The sequence below is a fragment of the Homo sapiens genome, chromosome 14, assembly GCF_000001405.40.
Source record: "Homo sapiens chromosome 14, GRCh38.p14 Primary Assembly".
Taxonomy (NCBI): Eukaryota; Metazoa; Chordata; class Mammalia; order Primates; family Hominidae; genus Homo; species Homo sapiens.
The window spans coordinates 106637274-106655806 of record NC_000014.9 but is presented as its reverse complement, the minus strand read 5'-3'; the positions used below and the strand labels follow the sequence as shown (position 1 = coordinate 106655806).

The window sequence follows — 18533 nt, the reverse complement described above, 5'->3', positions numbered from 1 at the left end:
TCTCTCTGATGTTTAGGTTTGACAAGCTGCAGAGGGACACACCACTTTCCTGTGAGATGTAGGGGATGACAGTTTTGGGGGATGGCTGGAAACGTGCAGTATCCTTAGGGTCAGCCATCAGTAAATGCAGGCTGGAAATCTTAGAAAGATCTCAAGCTGCTTAATCACCACGGAGTTTTACCTTCTCCAGATCTGTTCTGATGGAATCAGGGCCAAGTTTGTTATTGATGATAATCTACCTAATATTGAGTCAACTGATCACAGTTTTAATAACATCTATTTAAAAATTCACACCTGGATTAGTGTTTGATCAAATAACTACAAAGTATTGCCCAACCAAGCATACCATCAGGCAGACTGTTACCCACAGAGAAAAACATTGAACATGAGTTTGAGGTTCTCACATTGTTAAAGGTGTAAAACCGATTATGTTTAAATTATGCTATTTTTATTATTGTTATTGAGTTGTAGATGTTTCATTTACATTTTGGATATTAACGCTTTTTCAGATTCATGGCATATTATCCAATTCTGTGAGTTGGAATTATTTTGTTACTTTGCGGAATCTTTTTTTAAATCTAGTCCCACTTGTCCAATTCTGTGTTTTTTTATTTGTTTGAATGTAAAATCCAGAAAAAGATTGCTAATTTTTTGAGGGTTGGGAGTTTTACAATTGCACGTGTTTCATTTAAGTATTTAATGCATTTAGAATTAATTTTTTTGTTTATTCTAACCTAAAATTCTTAATTCTTTGCATGTAAATATCCAATTTTCATAACACGCTCTTTGGAAGACACTATAATTTAGCAATTATATATTGATGGTTCTCACGCTGAAAGTCAGCTGGCCATCAATATGTGGGTTTATATCTAAGCTCTCTGTATGAATTTATGCGAATGCCATTCTGATTTATTACTGTATGTTTCTAATAAATGTTGAGGCCTGGAAGTGTAATACCTCAAGCTTTATTCTTGCCTTGTTACAGATATTAGACCAAAATATTCTAAAATTTTACTATTGAGTATAATAATAGCTGTGGCTTTTCTTAATTGGTTTCATTATGTACAAGTTGTTTTCTTGTCTTCCTACTTTGTTCAGAGTTTTTATAATGAAATCCTGAATTTTTTTCAAGTGTTTTCTGTGTCTGATGAAATGTTACTGAGATATTTTTTCTTTAGTTTTTTAATTAATCAACTGAATTGATTGATTTGAGAATGTCAAATCATCTGTGCATCTCAGAATAAATTTGAGTTGATCATGGTGTATGGTCTTCTATAAAATCTTTAGAATTTATTTTACTATTGTTGGGGGGTTAATTTATGTCTACTAATGATATTGGTCTATGATTTTCTTTTATTGTGGTGCCTTTGTCTATTACTGGTAGTACTCTAACGGTAGCCTCATAGAAAGAGTTTGGAAGGTGTGTTGCAGACTACCTTTAAAATAGATTTTATCAGTGGAGAAACGGTGATAGTTTTTTTCTTCAGTTTTCTGTTGGGAAGAGTTTTGTTTGTTTGTTTGTTTTTTGTTTTTTTGTTTTGTTTTGTTTGTTTTTTGAGACAGAATCTCGCTCTGTTGCCCAGGCTGGAGTGCAGTGGCAGAATCTCGGCTCACTGCAAGCTCCGCCTCCTGGGTTCATGCCATTCTCCTGCCTCAGCCCCCAAGTAGCTGGGACTACAGGCGCCTGCCACCACGCCTGGCTAACTTTTTGTATTTTTAGTAGAGATGGGGTTTCACCGTGTTAGCCAGAATGGTCTCGATCTCCTGACCTCGTGATCCGCCCGCCTCGGCCTCCCAAGGGAAGAGTTTTATGTTGTTTAAAAGATATTCTGAATAACTTAACCTGCTTAATGGGCTTACATAATATTCCTTTCTTCCATTCTTTTTAAAGAACTGCTTACCTTTCCTAATTATTTTTAGGGTGATTTTTTTCATAAAGATTGTGCAATACATTTTGAGGTGAGACTTAGTGGATTTTTTCTAATGAATTAGAAATAATAAATCACTTAATTGACTATTGTATTAAGGTTGATTTGTTGAATATTTGCTAAAGGCCAGTTCTTTAAGCTGTGCCATGTACTAAATCCCTAACCGACTATTTTATTCAGGTTGGTTTGTTGAATATTTGTTAGAGACCAGTTCTTTACACTATGGCATGTAATAAATTCCAAATGGCAGTACGTCATTGTTTACTTAGCTTTTGTGCTTATATTTTTCAGAGGAAAAAAAATACTGTAAATTGTAAATACCCAATACCTAACAGTATTGTATGCAAATCTGTGACTGTTGGCAGTGTCATCTCTGAGAAACAGATAAAGTTTATTTACTATATATAAAAAAAGAGTTTGGAAGGTGGACTCCTCACCAATTTTTGAAAGAGTTAGAGAAGCATTAGCATTAATTCTTTAAATGTTAAGACTAATTTTATGATGTAACATATAACCTATCATGGAGAATGTTCAATGGGTGCTTGAGAAGGATGTGTATTACATGGCTCTTGGTTGGAAGGTTCTGTAAATGTCTTTCAGGTAAATTTGTTCAATACTGTTGTTCAAGTTCAGAGGCTTATTAAGAATTTTCTTTCTGGATTTGCTATACATTATTCTAAGTGAGGTATTAAGGTTTTCCCTTATTTTTATATAGTTTTCTATTTCTCTCTATATATATATCTTAAAGTTTGCTTAATGCATTTATATTTGTATTTGTACTGTGTAAAAAGTAAAATAAAATAATAATTGCTTAGTGAGTTTCATGGCACAATCACGTTATGAATAATCATATTTTCCCAAATGCTGTCATTGCCACTAACTCCTCCAGATACATGGTATATTATCCAATTCTGTGAGTTGGAATTATTTCGTTGCTTTGCAGAATCTTTTTTTGTTAATCTAGTTCCACTTGTTCAATTATGCTCCTCCGGGAGTCTCACATCTGCTCTGGGCACTGCCTTCTTCTCAGGCATCCCACACTGGAGCTTGCTATAGAGGAGGAGGCATGAAAACAGGGCCCTCCCTCTACTGGTGAAAACAAGCCCAGACCTGGCCCTGCAGCTCTGGGAGAAGAGCCACAGCACTGGGATTCCCAGGGGTTTCCATGTGGTAATCAGGGCTGAACACAGAGCTCACTATGGGGTTTGAGCTAACCAGAATTTTTCTTGTTGCTATTTTAAAAGGTGACTCATAGAGAAATAGAGTGAGTGAGAGTGAGTGGATATAAGTGAGAAAAACAGTAGATGTGTTTGGCAGTTTCTGACCAGGACGTTTGTGTATTTTCAGGTGTTCAGTGTGAGGTGGAGCTGATAGAGTCCATAGAGGGCCTGAGACAACTTGGGAAGTTCCTGAGACTCTCCTGTGTAGCCTCTGGATTCACCTTCAGTAGCTACTGAATGAGCTGGGTCAATGAGACTCTAGGGAAGGGGCTGGAGGGAGTAATAGATGTAAAATATGATGGAAGTCAGATATACCATGCAGACTCTGTGAAGGGCAGATTCACCATCTCCAAAGACAATGCTAAGAACTCACCGTATCTGCAAACGAACAGTCTGAGAGCTGAGGACATGACCATGCATGGCTGTACATAAGGTTCCAAGTGAGGAAACATCGGTGTGAGTCCAGACACAAAATTTCCTGCAGAAAGAAGAAAGGATTCTGGGCCGAAGGGGACACTCAGCACTCACAAAACAGGTGGAGCCCCAGGGCAGGTACAGAAAAGCAGTCAAGGGCTGCTGTCCTTCAGGATCTGTGCTTTCCTCTGCATGTAGCAGTTCCCCTCGAATCCTCTGCACTTTTATGTTTCTGTGCCCACCATGAGGTCCCTGGATTACAAAACTTTAATTTAAAAGAGGAAACATTCTTATATGTCCCAAAAACAAAAGTAAGTATTAGAGGCACAAAAGTGCACAGGCGGCCAGGTGAGGCTGTAGACACTGCCACCCCGCAATGCCAGTCTCACAACTAGCACTGGAGAGTAGTGGGCATTCAGTGGAGCTTCCTACCTATCCTGTGGTCCGAGCTAAGTCCAGCAAGGCCATTGGTGCCTTCCAGAGCACAGTAGTCCATCAGGAATCTCCCATGTGTCCCAGCAGCAGCCTTGCCTCAGTATCTCCACTGTGCACAGCCATTGTCTGGGAGGAGCTCCCAGGATGAGTGTCTTTGGCACACACCAGGTGGCGGGTGTTAGAGTGCAGTACAGCAGCTGGCTGCCTGGTCTATTGGGCTCCCTGATGTTGGAGGGATTTGAGGTGCATTCTCAGGCCCAGCACCCTCTTTGTGAATTTTTATATAAAAACCCTGATTTTACTTCATTTTCTCAGATGACATAGATAACTAAAAACAGAATCTGCAAAGAAATTGTAATTTTCAACTTTACCCCAAATTCATTGTTTCTTAATTCTGTGCAAGATCCAAACATATTTTTGCCTTCCACATGAGAAATTGTTCTGTTTAAACTGAAATCATTTTTTCTCATATTCTTTCTTTTTGCCCAAGTACAGAGATCTTGTTGAAAATAAGTTGGGTTCTTTCCACACACTAACCCTCACCTCCCCTAGAGAAAGAGCAGAGATTGTCCTCACTCTGAGTCTAGGGGAGGAGCTGTTCCTGTACAATTCAGAGCCTGCAGAGACCCCCAGGTGCAGCTTCAGTGAGTCAGACATTTCTCCATGTGGGCGACCTCCAGTGCCTGTGACTGCTTCTCAGGCCTAATTGTGGGTTAAGAATTAGGACACTCTTTAAGTTATCACATCTGAATCCTATTCTGAAAATCACCATAAAGAGAGATAGTTCAATGGCTATTCTCCTGACATAAGTTTCTCTTTATTACTTGGTTCCAAGTATGGAGAAACATGTGACCCTATATTTGTCTGAATCCAACATCAGAATCCACTGCATTACTCTGGGATACTCACGGATCGAACACAGGTGAGCTCTTTATTCTCACAGAAATGTATGTAGTTGGGAATTTCAACATATTGTCCAGAACGTGTGCCTGCCAACAACTGTGTTTCTCGGTGCACTCTTGGCCTGGTGAAGCCCTCACAGACCCTCTCCCTCATGTGTGTCATCTCTGCATTCTCCATCACAACCAGTGCTTCCTCCTGGAGCTGCATCCATCAGCCCCTCTCTGGGAGGGAATGGAGTGGATTGGGTGCATAGGTCATGAAGGGAGCACACATTACTCCCCTTTCCTCAAGAGTCCAGTCACCATCCCCAGATCCATGTCCAAAAACAGTTCTTCCTACAGCTGAGCTACATGAGCAACAATCACATAGCCATATATTTTTAAGCAAAAGACACAGTGAGGGAATCACAGTGTGAACTCACACCAAAACCTCCCTGTGGGGATGCATAGGACAGAAGGGGTTACTCCGGAGCCCAGGGGGCTCTCAGGACACCAAGGGGCACTCAAGACCATTGTAGAGGCACGCAGGTAGCCGGGGGCTCTCAGGAACCATGGAGGAAAATCAGGACACCAAAGGGTGCTCGGTACAGCGAGGGGCTCAGGACAATTGTGGGGATTCAGAAAGAACAGGTTCAAGGCTCAGCTTCAGGGCAGGTGCAGCTGGTGTGAAAAGGGGCTGGATGAGGCGTTTTGTGTCACCATCATGTTTCACCACCAGACACCCTCCACTACATCTGTTCTAATGCATGTGTTTGTATGATTAGAAAATGATATTGATATAAATATATAACCATAGCTAGGTGTGTCTTTTTCTGCCTTCCGTCCTCCCTTCTTCTCTCTCTCTCACACAGAAATTTACATACACCCACCCCACAACACACATAAATCTATAACTTTTATTACCTGATGTATTCAATAAACCTGATTAATGTGTTTTGCAGCTTCATTGTTTATGCTGTTGTAGCAATAAAAACCATCTGTTTCCCAGCTGTGTACTTCTCTAAGCTGAGTAGCATCTTTGTTCATAATACCCAGAATGAAAAACAACCCAAATGTCAATCATCAGCTTAACTGGTAAACACATTGTGGAAAAGTCATTCATTGACATACTACCCACTACTACCATCAGCTAATGTTGGCTATGCTCAAAAGCATGGTTAAATTCACAAGTACTTCAGATGAGTAAAATGAGCCCAAGTGATAAAAGTGCATACATAGGATACAACTTTCATAAGTTCTATAGAACAAAAAGTAATCTAAAGTTGCAAAAAAAAAATCAGTAGTTCACTGTGAATATTGTAGGAGAAGGGATGGTCTAGGAAGGAGGAATTATGGAACAAGATAAAATGTTGAGGGAATTGACTTGTTATCTATGTTGATAGTGATAATGTCTATGACAATATTTGCAAAATTGAACACTTCATGTGGAGATTATTGTTTTTAGTTTAGCCCCATTAAAGATAGTATTAATTAGAACAGGTATAAATTGGTATCAAAGGAATTAAAGATAAATAAAATACATGAAAAGTCAGAGAATCCTGAATATACACATGAATGAGCACTGGACATCTCTGTATTTTTAGAGAAGCACTAGAATACAGCAAAATAATGGCATAATTTTACATCACTAAGAAAGTTTATCAAACCCACCAGGCATGTTGTATTAGTTCATTTTCACACTGGTATAAAAAACTACTTGAGACTGGGTAGTTTACAAGGAAAAGAGGTATAGTTGGCTCACAGTTCTGCATGGCTGGGGAGGCCACAGGAAACTTACAATCATGGTGGAAGGTGAAGAGGAAGCAAGGCACGTCTCACAGCCCAGCAGGAGAGAGATAGAGGAGGGGAAGTGACACATACTTTTAAACCATCAGCGGTTGTTAGAACTCACTCACTATCATGAGAACAACATGGGGAAACTGCCCCCATGATCCAATCACCTCTCACCTGGTCCCTCCCTTGACATGTGGGGATTAGAATTTGAGATGATATTTAGGTGGGGCACAAAACCAATCTATATCACATGTCCAGTTCTGTCCTGGAGTTGTTTCAGGGATCCAGTGTGTCCTGTTGATAGAAACAGTGACACCAAGTTCATATTATCAGTTGTAGTTGACACCATGCAAAGCCAAGAGATCTCAAGTGAGATTTAGTGTGTATGTTGTGTCTAATGAAGTCACACACTCAGAGCAAGTGAATAGGGAAAAGTTCATTATCTACACTGTAGAGGTGTCTGCTGAGTGCAGGGCAGGTCTCCCAGGAAAATCTAAAATGGCTTGAAAGAAAACCAAAGGAGACTGGCTCAGGGTTTTTATAATGGTTTAGTGGTGGGGGCAAAGTGAAGCTTCCCACTCACAGATGGGGGTTTATAGGGTTTGAAACTCCCACTGGCATCAAATGAAGAAGCTCCTGTGAGTCTGAACTAGATTCATCTTGTGTGGCAAAAAAGGAGACGATGGAGGAGTGAGCCTTAAGTAATCAGCAGTCATGCACCAAAAGATAGAGTGACAACTTATTCCATGCAGCAGGAATAAAAATAATGAATAAGAAAGAAGACAAGGGTTCAGTATGGGTGGACAACACCCAGATCTGCAGAAATGAGATGACTTTAGAAATGTAAGCAAAGAATAATGAGAAAAATAAGAAGTGGATGGAAAATTAAACAGGGGCCTGGTCTAATGTCTTGGGTAGAAGCTTTTCACAATCAAGGACTATCAGCTTATTCTGCAGGTCTTAGGTCAGCCATCTGCTTAAAAACATCAGAAACGCCAGAGGGTCTATGAGGATGCTCAGTTTAACATCTCCTATTTGAGTAGCTTTACAGTTGTGTGGAATTCTTAATTGATTATTTTTTGTTTGTTTTTAGGGACAGGCTCTCACACTGTTCCACAGCTTAAAGTACAGTTGTGTGATCATAGCTCACCTTAAATTTGAGCTCCTGACTCACACAACCTTTCCATCTTAGCTTTCTGAGTATCTACAACTAGATGGGCACACCACCCCTACCCTCCTTATTTTTTAAACATTTTTTCATAGAAATAGCATCTCTTTATGTTGCTCAGGTTGGCTTCGATTGCCTGGTCTCATAGGATTTCCCTCACTTTGCTTCTGGAAGTGGTGTGATTATAGGGAAGATCCACTGCATCTGACCTGAATTTATTCTTTAGTTGTAAAATATGAAGCCAATAATTAACTGCCTGAATGTTTTCTGCAGTGAGTTAGTTAAAAGCATCTGATAAGGTTCCTTCCTATGTGATTCACGAGCAGTATTTTCCGCTGATGTTCCTTCCAGTTTCCTTGCTGAAGATCACAGGGAATTGTGGAAAATATGTAGTAAAAAGGCAGCCTTAAACTCTTCATTGTTAGAGTGGATATCACACAGGAATCACTTTCAGTATTTTGTAACACATGCATGCAATAGAGCAAACATGATCTCTGGGGGTAAAGTCTATAAACGTATGGGCCTTTTAGCTACCAAGTCATAGGGTAATAACTGATGTACCCTGAGGACTGGACCATGATTCCATAGTGCTAGTGGAAGAACCCTTGACCAAGGGAGTTTTACATTTTATTAAAATATGTAGAGATGCCACTTTTTAAACATTCCCAGAAGGTTGTGAGTGGGATTGACTCTGTCTCGTATGAACAAAGACAATGCCCTCCATGATTAGATAATATTATAAACTAGATTGAGCTACAGTGTTTGCTGTATTGAATCACTGTATATTTTATTTTTTAGCTCCATGTTAGTTTTTTGTCTGCGTGTTAGCGTTGGCTTTAAAATGATATTAATCAGCTCTGTAGTAAGTAGAAATTCATCTGAGAGTTTCTTTCCTTGTTTTCCAGTTTGATAGGATTTCCAGAATACATAAGAACCCTCTCTGTTTGTAAAAATATTCCAGGCCAGGCCAGTGGCTCATGCCTGTAAACCCAGCACTTTGGGAGGCCGAGGTGGGGGGGATCATTTCAGGTCAGGAGTTTGAGACCAGCCTGGCCAACATGGTGAAACCTCCTTTCTACTAAAAATACAAAAATTAGCCGGGCATGGTGGTGCTTGAGGATTGCTTGAACCCTGGAGGCTGATGTTGCAGTGAGCCGAAATTGTGCCACTGCACTCCAGCCTGAGAGACACAGCGAGAGTCCATCTCAAAATAAAAGAAAACAAAACATTCCAAAGTTATGCACAATCTAGAAACATATGTACTTAATTCTCATTTTTAATTTATTAAAAAGCTCTAATAAGTTCAATGTTTTCTGCCTTCTCAGTTGATTTCACAACACATATAATAATATATCCTAAATAAAAGTTTGTTCTCTTAATACAAATTACTAGTTAATAACCCTTACTTTATTATTGAGGTATTATCCATCAGTGTTCATCAATGCTCTCAATGGGACTCTTACATAGAGAATATACAAAATATTTTCCTGATCATGACATAAAACAGATGTGAACACATTCTTAGTATTCAGCCATGTCTCCTATCATGTTATAAACCACATGCTAACTTTGACTTTATTGGAACTTGTTCTAATTTCAAACTAGTTATTTTTTATCTTCATGCAGCTGGATTATTATGTGTGGTTATTTATTCCGAGAGTGATAAAGACAACATTAACAATTTTCACTGCAGGCATGTCTAGGCAACCCCCTGTGCACAATGACCTTGGTGCATTGGAGATTCTATGGGGACTCTTCCCTACCTGCCTAGGAGAGTTCTCTGCCTTCTACCTCTATCATTTTCCTCTTTGAAGAAATACATCTAACTGTCGTTAGAATAGAGACAAAGACAAATCTTAACTGCTTCCAGCTGACGGGGGATGCTGTTTGGGGAAGATCTCTCTTGGAGGCCTGTCTAAGGGACCCCAGGAAAAGGGAGCCATTATCCCAGGCTTCAGTTGCATGAGCATTTGGAGTTTGATGGTCTGAAAACGAGAAAAGGCAAATCAGATTATTAGAAGACATGTATCCAAACCTAACAAGGTGGTCAAGGTGGTAAGGACAGTTTGAAAGAAAATTCCAAGGCTGCTGACATGCCCAGATAACTGCGGCTGTAGTTATGCCTGCTAAGGTTTGGGCGCATGAGGCTTGGCTTTTGTCAGCTCCCTGGGATTTATTTTCCCAAACAAAGAAACCTCCAGGTTAGGGGCACCCTATTCATTCCCATCACCTGGCATGATTTAAAGGATAATTGCTTAGAATTAAAATATTGATACAGATTTTTTTATATTCCCCATCGCTTTTTGTTTCTTCTGGGCTGTAGCCAGAGATCATTGATTGGCGCTCAGGAATAAGCAGTCAGTCTAAAATGCAGGCAAATACTTAAACAACTGAAGAGATTAGAATTTAAAGATGATCGTATGATATGTTTTGAAATACAATTTTTCTCTTTCCAGTTCTGGTTTTTGTCAGAATCAAGTAATTGTAAGACTGAGTTGTTTGCAAAATAAACTTTAGTCTTAAACTTGGCCTGATTATTTGCATAAAGTGCAGCAAGAATATTAATAATAATTCTGTAGGAAAAGCCTGCAAGCACCAGGAGTTTCACAGTCTAACACTATGAGCACGTGCATCCTCACGCAACTCGCTGAATATTTCCAAGCCAGCCTGTTCCTATCTTAAATGCCATCCAGTTGTATCTGCCCCAGGTACACTAATATATGGGTCCTGCTTCTCTGCAGCCTCCTCTCTCCTCAGATTTCAGGTTTTGTTTATTGTTTGTTTTCTCTCTGATATAAACTCAAATATGTTGAAGGTTTTTTTGTGTGTGGTTGTTCAGGTTTGTTGTTAATGAGGTCAGAATAAGATAATACTTTACTCTTTTTATTTATTTATTTATTTATTTTTTGAGACGGAGTCTCGCTCTGTCACCCAGGCTGGAGTGCAGTGGCCCTATCTCAGCTCACTGCAAGCTCCGCCTCCCGGGTTCACGCCATTCTCCTGCCTCAGCCTCCAGAGTAGCTGGGACTACAGGCGCCCGCCACCATGGCCGGCTAATTTTTTGTAGTTTTAGTAGAGACGGGGTTTCACCGTGTTAGCCAGGATGGTCTCGATCTCCTGACCTTGTGATCCGCCCGCCTCGGCCTCCCAAAGTGCTGGGATTACAGGCGTGAGCCCCCGCGCCCGGCCCATACTTTGCTCCGTTTTATATTCCCATGCTTTAGTAGCTGCTTTTCTCTATCAAATCCATTAACTGAGAGAACAAATCACATTTAGTTACAGGTGAACAATTAAATAGTTTGGCATATATTTATGTACTGGAACATAACGCAGCTTGAAATCAAGGCATGCCTCACTCATATAAACAACATGGCTAAATTCTCAAGTAATTCTGTTTAGTGAAAGAAACTAAGGAGTTAAGAGTAAATTTTATATGATACATTTGTAGGAATTTTAGAAGATGCCATTATTGTAAATTAACACGGAGAAGATTTGAGTTTGTCTGACAATACGCTGTTGGGAGTAATGTGGATGTGAGTTGAATTTCAGAGAAATAAAAGAAAGATTTAGGGATTAATTTAATTATTCAAAACTTGATTGAAGTGCTGAGCAAATGGCTGCAAACATAGGTCAACATTTTTCAAATCCTTCACTATAAATTTGAATTAATTACTTATTAATTACACTTGAATAAAGCAATAACGAAGAAACCAATAAAATAACATTTGACTAAAATGGAGCAATAAACAGATCGATGTTAACACAAGGAATATGACTGACTTATGAAAACATGCACATGAACCATGGTTCACTCTACGTATTTTGGTAAATTACAGAAAGTTGTCATAACAGATGGGGAATCCTGCAGACTTCACTAGGCATGGTCCACGCTGCCCTGGAGTTGTCTCAGGGGAGCTGCCTCCTCCAGTGGTTAGAGCACAGGCCCAGGTAATAGGACTAATTTTTTTAGATGTGTAATTTTAGACACACTGCACAACTGCTGTGTTCTCTGTGTAAATTATCTCCTGTAAAATGTAACATTGAAACCTGCATTAAACATATTGTATAAATATGTAAGAATAAAATAAGATTATGAGAGCTAAATATTAATCAAGGCACAAGCACATAATATAAAATTATATTTTCCTGAATGATACAATTATTCCAATCTGTCCCAGGACACTTCATCTGCCCTGAGCCCAGCCTCTCCTCAGATGTCCCACCACAGAGCTTGCTATATAGTGGGGGACATGCGAATAGGGCCCTCCCTCTGCTGATGAAAACCAGCCCAGCTGACCCTGCAGCTCTGGGAGAGGAGCCCAGCACTGGAAGTCGGCGGTGTTTCCATTCCGTGATCAGCACTGAACACAGAGGACTCACCATGGAGTTTGGGCTGAGCTGGGTTTTCCTTGTTGCTATTTTAAGAGGTGATTCATAGATAAATAGAGATGTTGAGTGGGAGTGGACATGAGTGAGAGAAACAGTGGATGTGTGTGGCAGTTTCTGACCTTGGTGTCTTTGTGTTTGCAGGTGTCCAGTGTGAGGTGCAGCTGGTGGAGTCTGGGGAAGGCTTGGTCCAGCCTGGGGGGTCCCTGAGACTCTCCTGTGCAGCCTCTGGATTCACCTTCAGTAGCTCTGCTATGCACTGGGTCCGCCAGGCTCCAAGAAAGGGTTTGTAGTGGGTCTCAGTTATTAGTACAAGTGGTGATACCGTACTCTACACAGACTCTGTGAAGGGCCGATTCACCATCTCCAGAGACAATGCCCAGAATTCACTGTATCTGCAAATGAACAGCCTGAGAGCCGACGACATGGCTGTGTATTACTGTGTGAAAGACGCAGTGAGAAGTCAGTGTGAGCCCAGACACAAACCTCCCTGCAGGGTACCTGGGACAACCAGGGAAAGCCTGGGACACTGTATACTGGGCTGTCCCCAGGGGCAAGTCCAGGTGGTATAAGCCTAGGTTTCCTGTCATGGTCTAGGGTTGCCTTTTTAGCAACTTACCCCAGAGAACTTCTCTAGATTTCCAATTCTGTAATAACATTTGATGTCGTCTCTGGCTGCAAAATGTCCCCTCAACTTTGTATCTTTTTTTTTTTTTTTGTAACAGGAGGACACATCCTCACCCTGCAGAAGCCTGAGTGTCACATTGGGGGCAGAAATGATCTGCCTTGATCTCACTGATCACTGTCCCGAGGAACATACCCCACAGGGGACCCTGATGACTCCAGTAATGTCTCTGCCTCAAAACCATTGAAGAGTCCTTCCTTCCATTAGAGTTGACCACAGCACCTGGGCTTCAGCACAAGCCATACCACAGACGTCACAAAGCAGCAGATTGACACCTGATCCAGGTGCATTTTCTCACCTTTAGAGGCTGAGAGAGGGGTGTATTCTCAAGGTCAACACACTCTTTGTGGATTTTTACAGAGAACACCTACTTTTACTTTATTTCATTTGAAGATAAATGAACAAATGTGCAGCTGCAAATGATTGTAATTTTCACATTTATTCCAATTCCAATATTTCTGAATTCTGCATGATGTCCTGGCACAGGGTTGTGTTTTCTACAGGTATTTTTCATCAAACCAAGAAAATGCATTTTCCACTTTCCGTGGTTTTTCTCCATGTGCAGAGGCCTTGAGTAGAGCACGTCTGACTGTGTTTGTTTTCACGCTGCTGATAAAGAGACCTTGAGTAGATCACGTCTGACTGTGTTTGTCTGTTTTCACGTGGCTGATAAAGACATACCAGAGACTGGGAAACTTACAACAGAAAGAGTTTTATTGGACTTACAGTTCCACGTGGCTGGAAAGGCCTCACAATCATGGTGGAAGGTGAAAGGCACATCTGACATGGCGGCAGACAAGAGAAGAGAGCTTGTGCTGGGTCTCCCCTTTTTAAAACCATCAGATCTCATGAGACTCATTCACTATTAAGAGAACAGTGCAGGAGAGACACAACCCCCATAACTCAGTCACCTCCCACTGGTCCCTCCCACAACATTGAGAATTATGGGAGCTACACATCAAAATGAGATTTGAGTGAGGACACATCCGACCCATATCATTCCACCCCAGGTTCCCTCCCAAATCTCATGTCCTCACATTTCAAAACCAATCATGCCTTCCCAACAGCTCCCCAAAGGCTAAACTCATTTCATCATTAACTCAGAAGTCCACAGTACAACATTTCATCTGAGGCAAGGCAAGTCCCTTCCCCTTATGAGCCTGTAAATTCAGAAGCAAGTTACAAGCATTGGGTAAACACACCCATTACAAATGACAGAAATTGCCCATAACAAAAAGGCCCCATGCAAGTCCAAAATCCAGCAGGGCAGTCAAATCATAGAGCTCCACAATGATCACCTGTAACTCCCCTTCTCACATCCGGGACATGTTGATGCAATAGGTGAGTTCCGATGGTCTTGGGCAGCTCCACCCCTGTGGCTTTGCAGGGTACAGCCTCCCTCCTGGCTGCTTTCACAGGCTGGTGTTCAGTGTCTGTGGATTTTCCAGGCACAAAGTGCAAACTGTCAGTGGATCTACCATTCCAGGGTCTGGAGGATAGCAGCCCTCTTCTCACAGCTCCACTAGGCAGTGCCCCAGTAAGGACTCTGTGTGGGAGCTCTGGCCCTATATTTCCTTTCCTCCTTGCCCTAGCAGAGGTTCTCCATGAATGATCCACCACTGCAGCCAACTTATGACTGGACATCCAGGTGTTTTCATACATCTTCTGAAATCTAGGCAGAGGTTCTCAAACACCAATTCTTAGCACTCTGTCGATAATGGTTCATTTTTTTGGCCTGTTCATTACTGGTATTTTTCAAAGGAATCTCACTTGAATCTTTACTCTTTTGCATTTTGTCTCCATGACAATGTTGGGAAGTTTTACCTCCACCATCATAACATGATCTAGTGATCTCACACATTTGTGGCAAACAATACCTACAAATTCAGAAGCTCTTTGCTTTTCTTTCCATGAAATATAATTCTTTCTGTTCTGTGTATAAGCATATCTTAGCAACTCTGTGCACACCCACATAGATGTCCACAAGCCTATGAATTATTCTCTGTAAATAAAAATTTATATCAATTTCCCTCAATGTTCATAATTCTCCTGAGGGTGAGGAAGCTCCTTCTCGATCTGTTCAAACAAAATGCCCAGAAACCATCTGGTAGGTAAGGAGTTCACCTGGCTCTGGTGTGGGGTCTGTCTCTTTCCCTCTGTTGTCACACAGGTCAGCCCAGTTGTTCAGGTCCTAAGAAGAAAGCCCAGGTTTGTCCTGATTTTAAAACACATCAAACTTCTGATGACTCTCCTGTTACCCACATCCATGGAGATAGATTATTTATTATATAATTCACCAAACTAATGTCAAATGCCCAAGTTGCAATACCACACATCCTAGGGTATGTTCATGCAATTCAATGGAGGAGAAAGTCTTTCAGAGACAGATGGATCTGAAATGATAAATATGTGGGTAAGGACTCTGGGCTTGAGTATCATTGTCCAGCCATGTTTCACAAGTGTGTCCTGTCAGGGAAGGACAAGAGTTCCTTGTGTTCTCAGAGGGAAGGGGTCACAGAGTTCCTCTCTGGTTCCCAGGAAAGATAATCGCACTAATCTTCATGATCTTCATGAGACTATCCTCCAGTGCTGACCTGTTATAGAGTTTTTGTCTGAAGTTCTCACTGCAATCCCCAATCTACATATTTTCAATCAGAAGTGTTTAGAGGCCAGGACATATCTTCACGGTCACACATTGAGAAGGATGTAGATATGTCCCACTACCTTCTCCTGAGATCTCAGACAGAATCCCAGATTTCAAAAGGACACAGAAGGACAGCTCTCAGGTGCTTTTAAAAAATGACCCACTTCCAGGGACAGGGAGCTTCCCTATAACCATGGTGGATGTTCTGAACTACAATAAACATTGGATGGATCCAGGATTGTTTGAAGTCACTGTCATTATTACATTCAGCTGCTGTTTCAATGTGTCTGAAGTAGTAAATGACAATTTAGATGACAATTTATATGAATCTTCAAGGGTAGAACAATATTGACCATATTCCAAAATCTGTCCTTGATCCATGATCACACTCATCTCCCAGACCAGGTCCTTCAGCACGTCTCTTTACCTGAAAGAAGAGGACTCTGGGCTTGGAGAGGGGAGACCCCAAGAAGACAACTGAGTTCTCAAAGGGCACAGCCAGCATCCTACTCCCAGGGCGAGCCCAAAAGACTGGGGCCTCCCTCCTCCTTTTTCACCTCTCCGTACAAAGGCACCACCCACATGCAAATCCTTACTTAAGCACCCACAGGAAACCACCACACATTTCCTTAAATTCAGGTTCCAGCTCACATGGGAAATACTTTCTGAGAGTCCTGGACCTCCTGTGCAAGAACATGAAACACCTGTGGTTCTTCCTCCTCCTGGTGGCAGCTCCCAGATGTGAGTGTCTCAGGGATCCAGACATGGGGGTATGGGAGGTGCCTCTGATCCCAGGGCTCACTGTGGGTCTCTCTGTTCACAGGGGTCCTGTCCCAGGTGCAGCTGCAGGAGTCGGGCCCAGGACTGGTGAAGCCTTCGGAGACCCTGTCCCTCACCTGCACTGTCTCTGGTGGCTCCGTCAGCAGTGGTAGTTACTACTGGAGCTGGATCCGGCAGCCCCCAGGGAAGGGACTGGAGTGGATTGGGTATATCTATTACAGTGGGAGCACCAACTACAACCCCTCCCTCAAGAGTCGAGTCACCATATCAGTAGACACGTCCAAGAACCAGTTCTCCCTGAAGCTGAGCTCTGTGACCGCTGCGGACACGGCCGTGTATTACTGTGCGAGAGACACAGTGAGGGGAGGTGAGTGTGAGCCCAGACACAAACCTCCCTGCATGGACGCGGAGGGGACCGGCGCAGGTGCTGCTCAGGACCAGCAGGTGGCGCGCGGGGCCCCCAGAGCATGAGGCCGGGTCAGGAGCAGGTGCAGGGAGGGCGGGGCTTCCTCATCTGCTCAGTGGTCTCCGTCCTCGCCAGCACCTCGCTGTCACCAGGGCTCCTCTTTCTTTATTATCTGTGGTTCTGCTTCCTCACATTCTTGTGCCAGGAAAGAAACGAGGAAGACAAATTTTCGTCTATAGTTGAAGCTTCACCAATTACTAGGAACTTGCCTACAAGTTCCTGCATGACCCATTATAACTTATCGATTAAAAAATATATATTCTAATGCTTCTCACCATCTCTTGATTTGTATCATCAACTGAATTGTACCCTCTTTGAAATTCATATGATGAAACCTTAAATTCAATGGATCTATATTGGAATTTTAATGAAATAATTAAGGTTAAATGTGGTCATAATTGTAAGACCCTAATGCAATAGACGTGTTGTCTTTATAAGAAGAGGAAGAGACACCAGAGACCTCTCACTTTTCACGTGCAGGCAGAGAAGAGGCCATGTGGAGACATAGTGCACTAGAAGGTGGCCCAGTGCAAGCCAGGAAGAAGCCGCGCCAAGAACCAGCCCTGCCAGCACACTAATCTTCAACATTCAGACTGCAGAATTTTAAGAAAATCAATATTTGTTGTTTAAGCCACCCACTCCTGTTGTCTTCTTATGAAGATCCAGACAGACTAATACCACATAACTCTGTTAGTGCTGTCCCCTGGATGGAGAATTAGCCTCCTGAGGCTGGGCACATCTCTCAGATTTCCACATAAAACAGGTAAAAAATAGTAGTTCTGATATAAAAACTTGTCATGTCCCTGTTGGCCAATTTCTGGGCAAGGTCTTTTAAATAAGCCAAGTTTGCGGGGAAATGGAGACCATATGTTTGTGGGACTCTAACCGTGGAATCTACTGCATTGCTCTAGCAGAATCAAAAATTGAACACCAGTGAGCTCTTTATTCTCATTAAAATGTGTGTCTTTGGAAATGTTAACATTCTGTCCAGAATCTGTGCTCACAAACAACTGTGTTTCTTAGTGCACTCTTGGCCTGGTGGAGCCCTCGCAGACCCTCTCCCTCACCTGTGCTGTCTCTGGATTTTCCATCACAACCAGTGTTTCCTGCTGGAGCTGGATCCACGAGTCCACATGGGAAGGACTGGAGTGGACCAGGCGCACACGTCATGAAGGGAGCAAAAATTCCCACCCACTCCTTATGAATCCAGTCACCATCTCCAAATTCGGGTCCAAAAAACACTTGTTTTTACAGTGGAGCTATGTGAGCAACAAGCTCACAGCCATGTTTTAAAGAAGAGACAGAGTGAGGGGACCACGGTGCGAGCTCACACCCAAACCTTCCTGGAGGGGTGCACAGGACAGCAGGAGTGCCGATGATGGAAGGGGGTGGTCTGGATTCCAGGGCACACGCAAGACCATTGTAGAGGCACTCAGGTCACCCGGGGGCTCTCAGGAACCATCGAGGAAAATCAGGACACCAGAAGAGACTCGGTACAGCAGGGGGCTCAGGACCATTGTGGGGACTCAGAAACAGCAGGTTCTAGGCTCAGCCTCAGGGCAGGTGCAGATGGGGTGAAAAGGGGCTGGATGAGGGGTTTTGTGTCACCATCATATTTCACCACTAGACACCCTCCACTACATGTGTTCTACTGCATATGAGTGTATGATTAGAAAATCATACTTCTATAAATATATAACCATACGAAGGTGTGTCAAGTTTTCCTCTTCAA

At 42.2% G+C, this 18533-nt stretch overlaps 5 pseudogenes, 1 gene segment (V, D, J or C) and 1 further gene; all 7 read left to right on the top strand.

Annotated features, from left to right (window-relative positions):
- The window catches only part of IGH (immunoglobulin heavy locus), a 1293408-nt gene that overhangs the window by 224038 nt on the left and 1050837 nt on the right, over window positions 1-18533 (top strand).
- On the top strand, window positions 1425-2341 carry GOLGA4P3 (golgin A4 pseudogene 3; annotated as a pseudogene).
- Window positions 3127-3594, top strand: IGHV3-63 (immunoglobulin heavy variable 3-63 (pseudogene); annotated as a pseudogene). Its single transcript is given in 2 exon segments — window positions 3127-3172; window positions 3276-3594. Coding segments are annotated over 2 exon segments (365 nt in total).
- On the top strand, window positions 5019-5291 carry IGHVII-62-1 (immunoglobulin heavy variable (II)-62-1 (pseudogene); annotated as a pseudogene). The gene is given in 1 exon segment: window positions 5019-5291. A coding segment is annotated over 1 exon segment (273 nt).
- Window positions 12222-12677, top strand: IGHV3-62 (immunoglobulin heavy variable 3-62 (pseudogene); annotated as a pseudogene). Its single transcript is given in 2 exon segments — window positions 12222-12267; window positions 12371-12677. Coding segments are annotated over 2 exon segments (353 nt in total).
- IGHV4-61 (immunoglobulin heavy variable 4-61) lies at window positions 16251-16688 on the top strand. The segment is given in 2 exon segments: window positions 16251-16296; window positions 16379-16688. Coding segments are annotated over 2 exon segments (356 nt in total), but the record flags the coding sequence as incomplete, so codon positions are not given.
- IGHVII-60-1 (immunoglobulin heavy variable (II)-60-1 (pseudogene)) lies at window positions 17834-18102 on the top strand (annotated as a pseudogene). The gene is given in 1 exon segment: window positions 17834-18102. A coding segment is annotated over 1 exon segment (269 nt).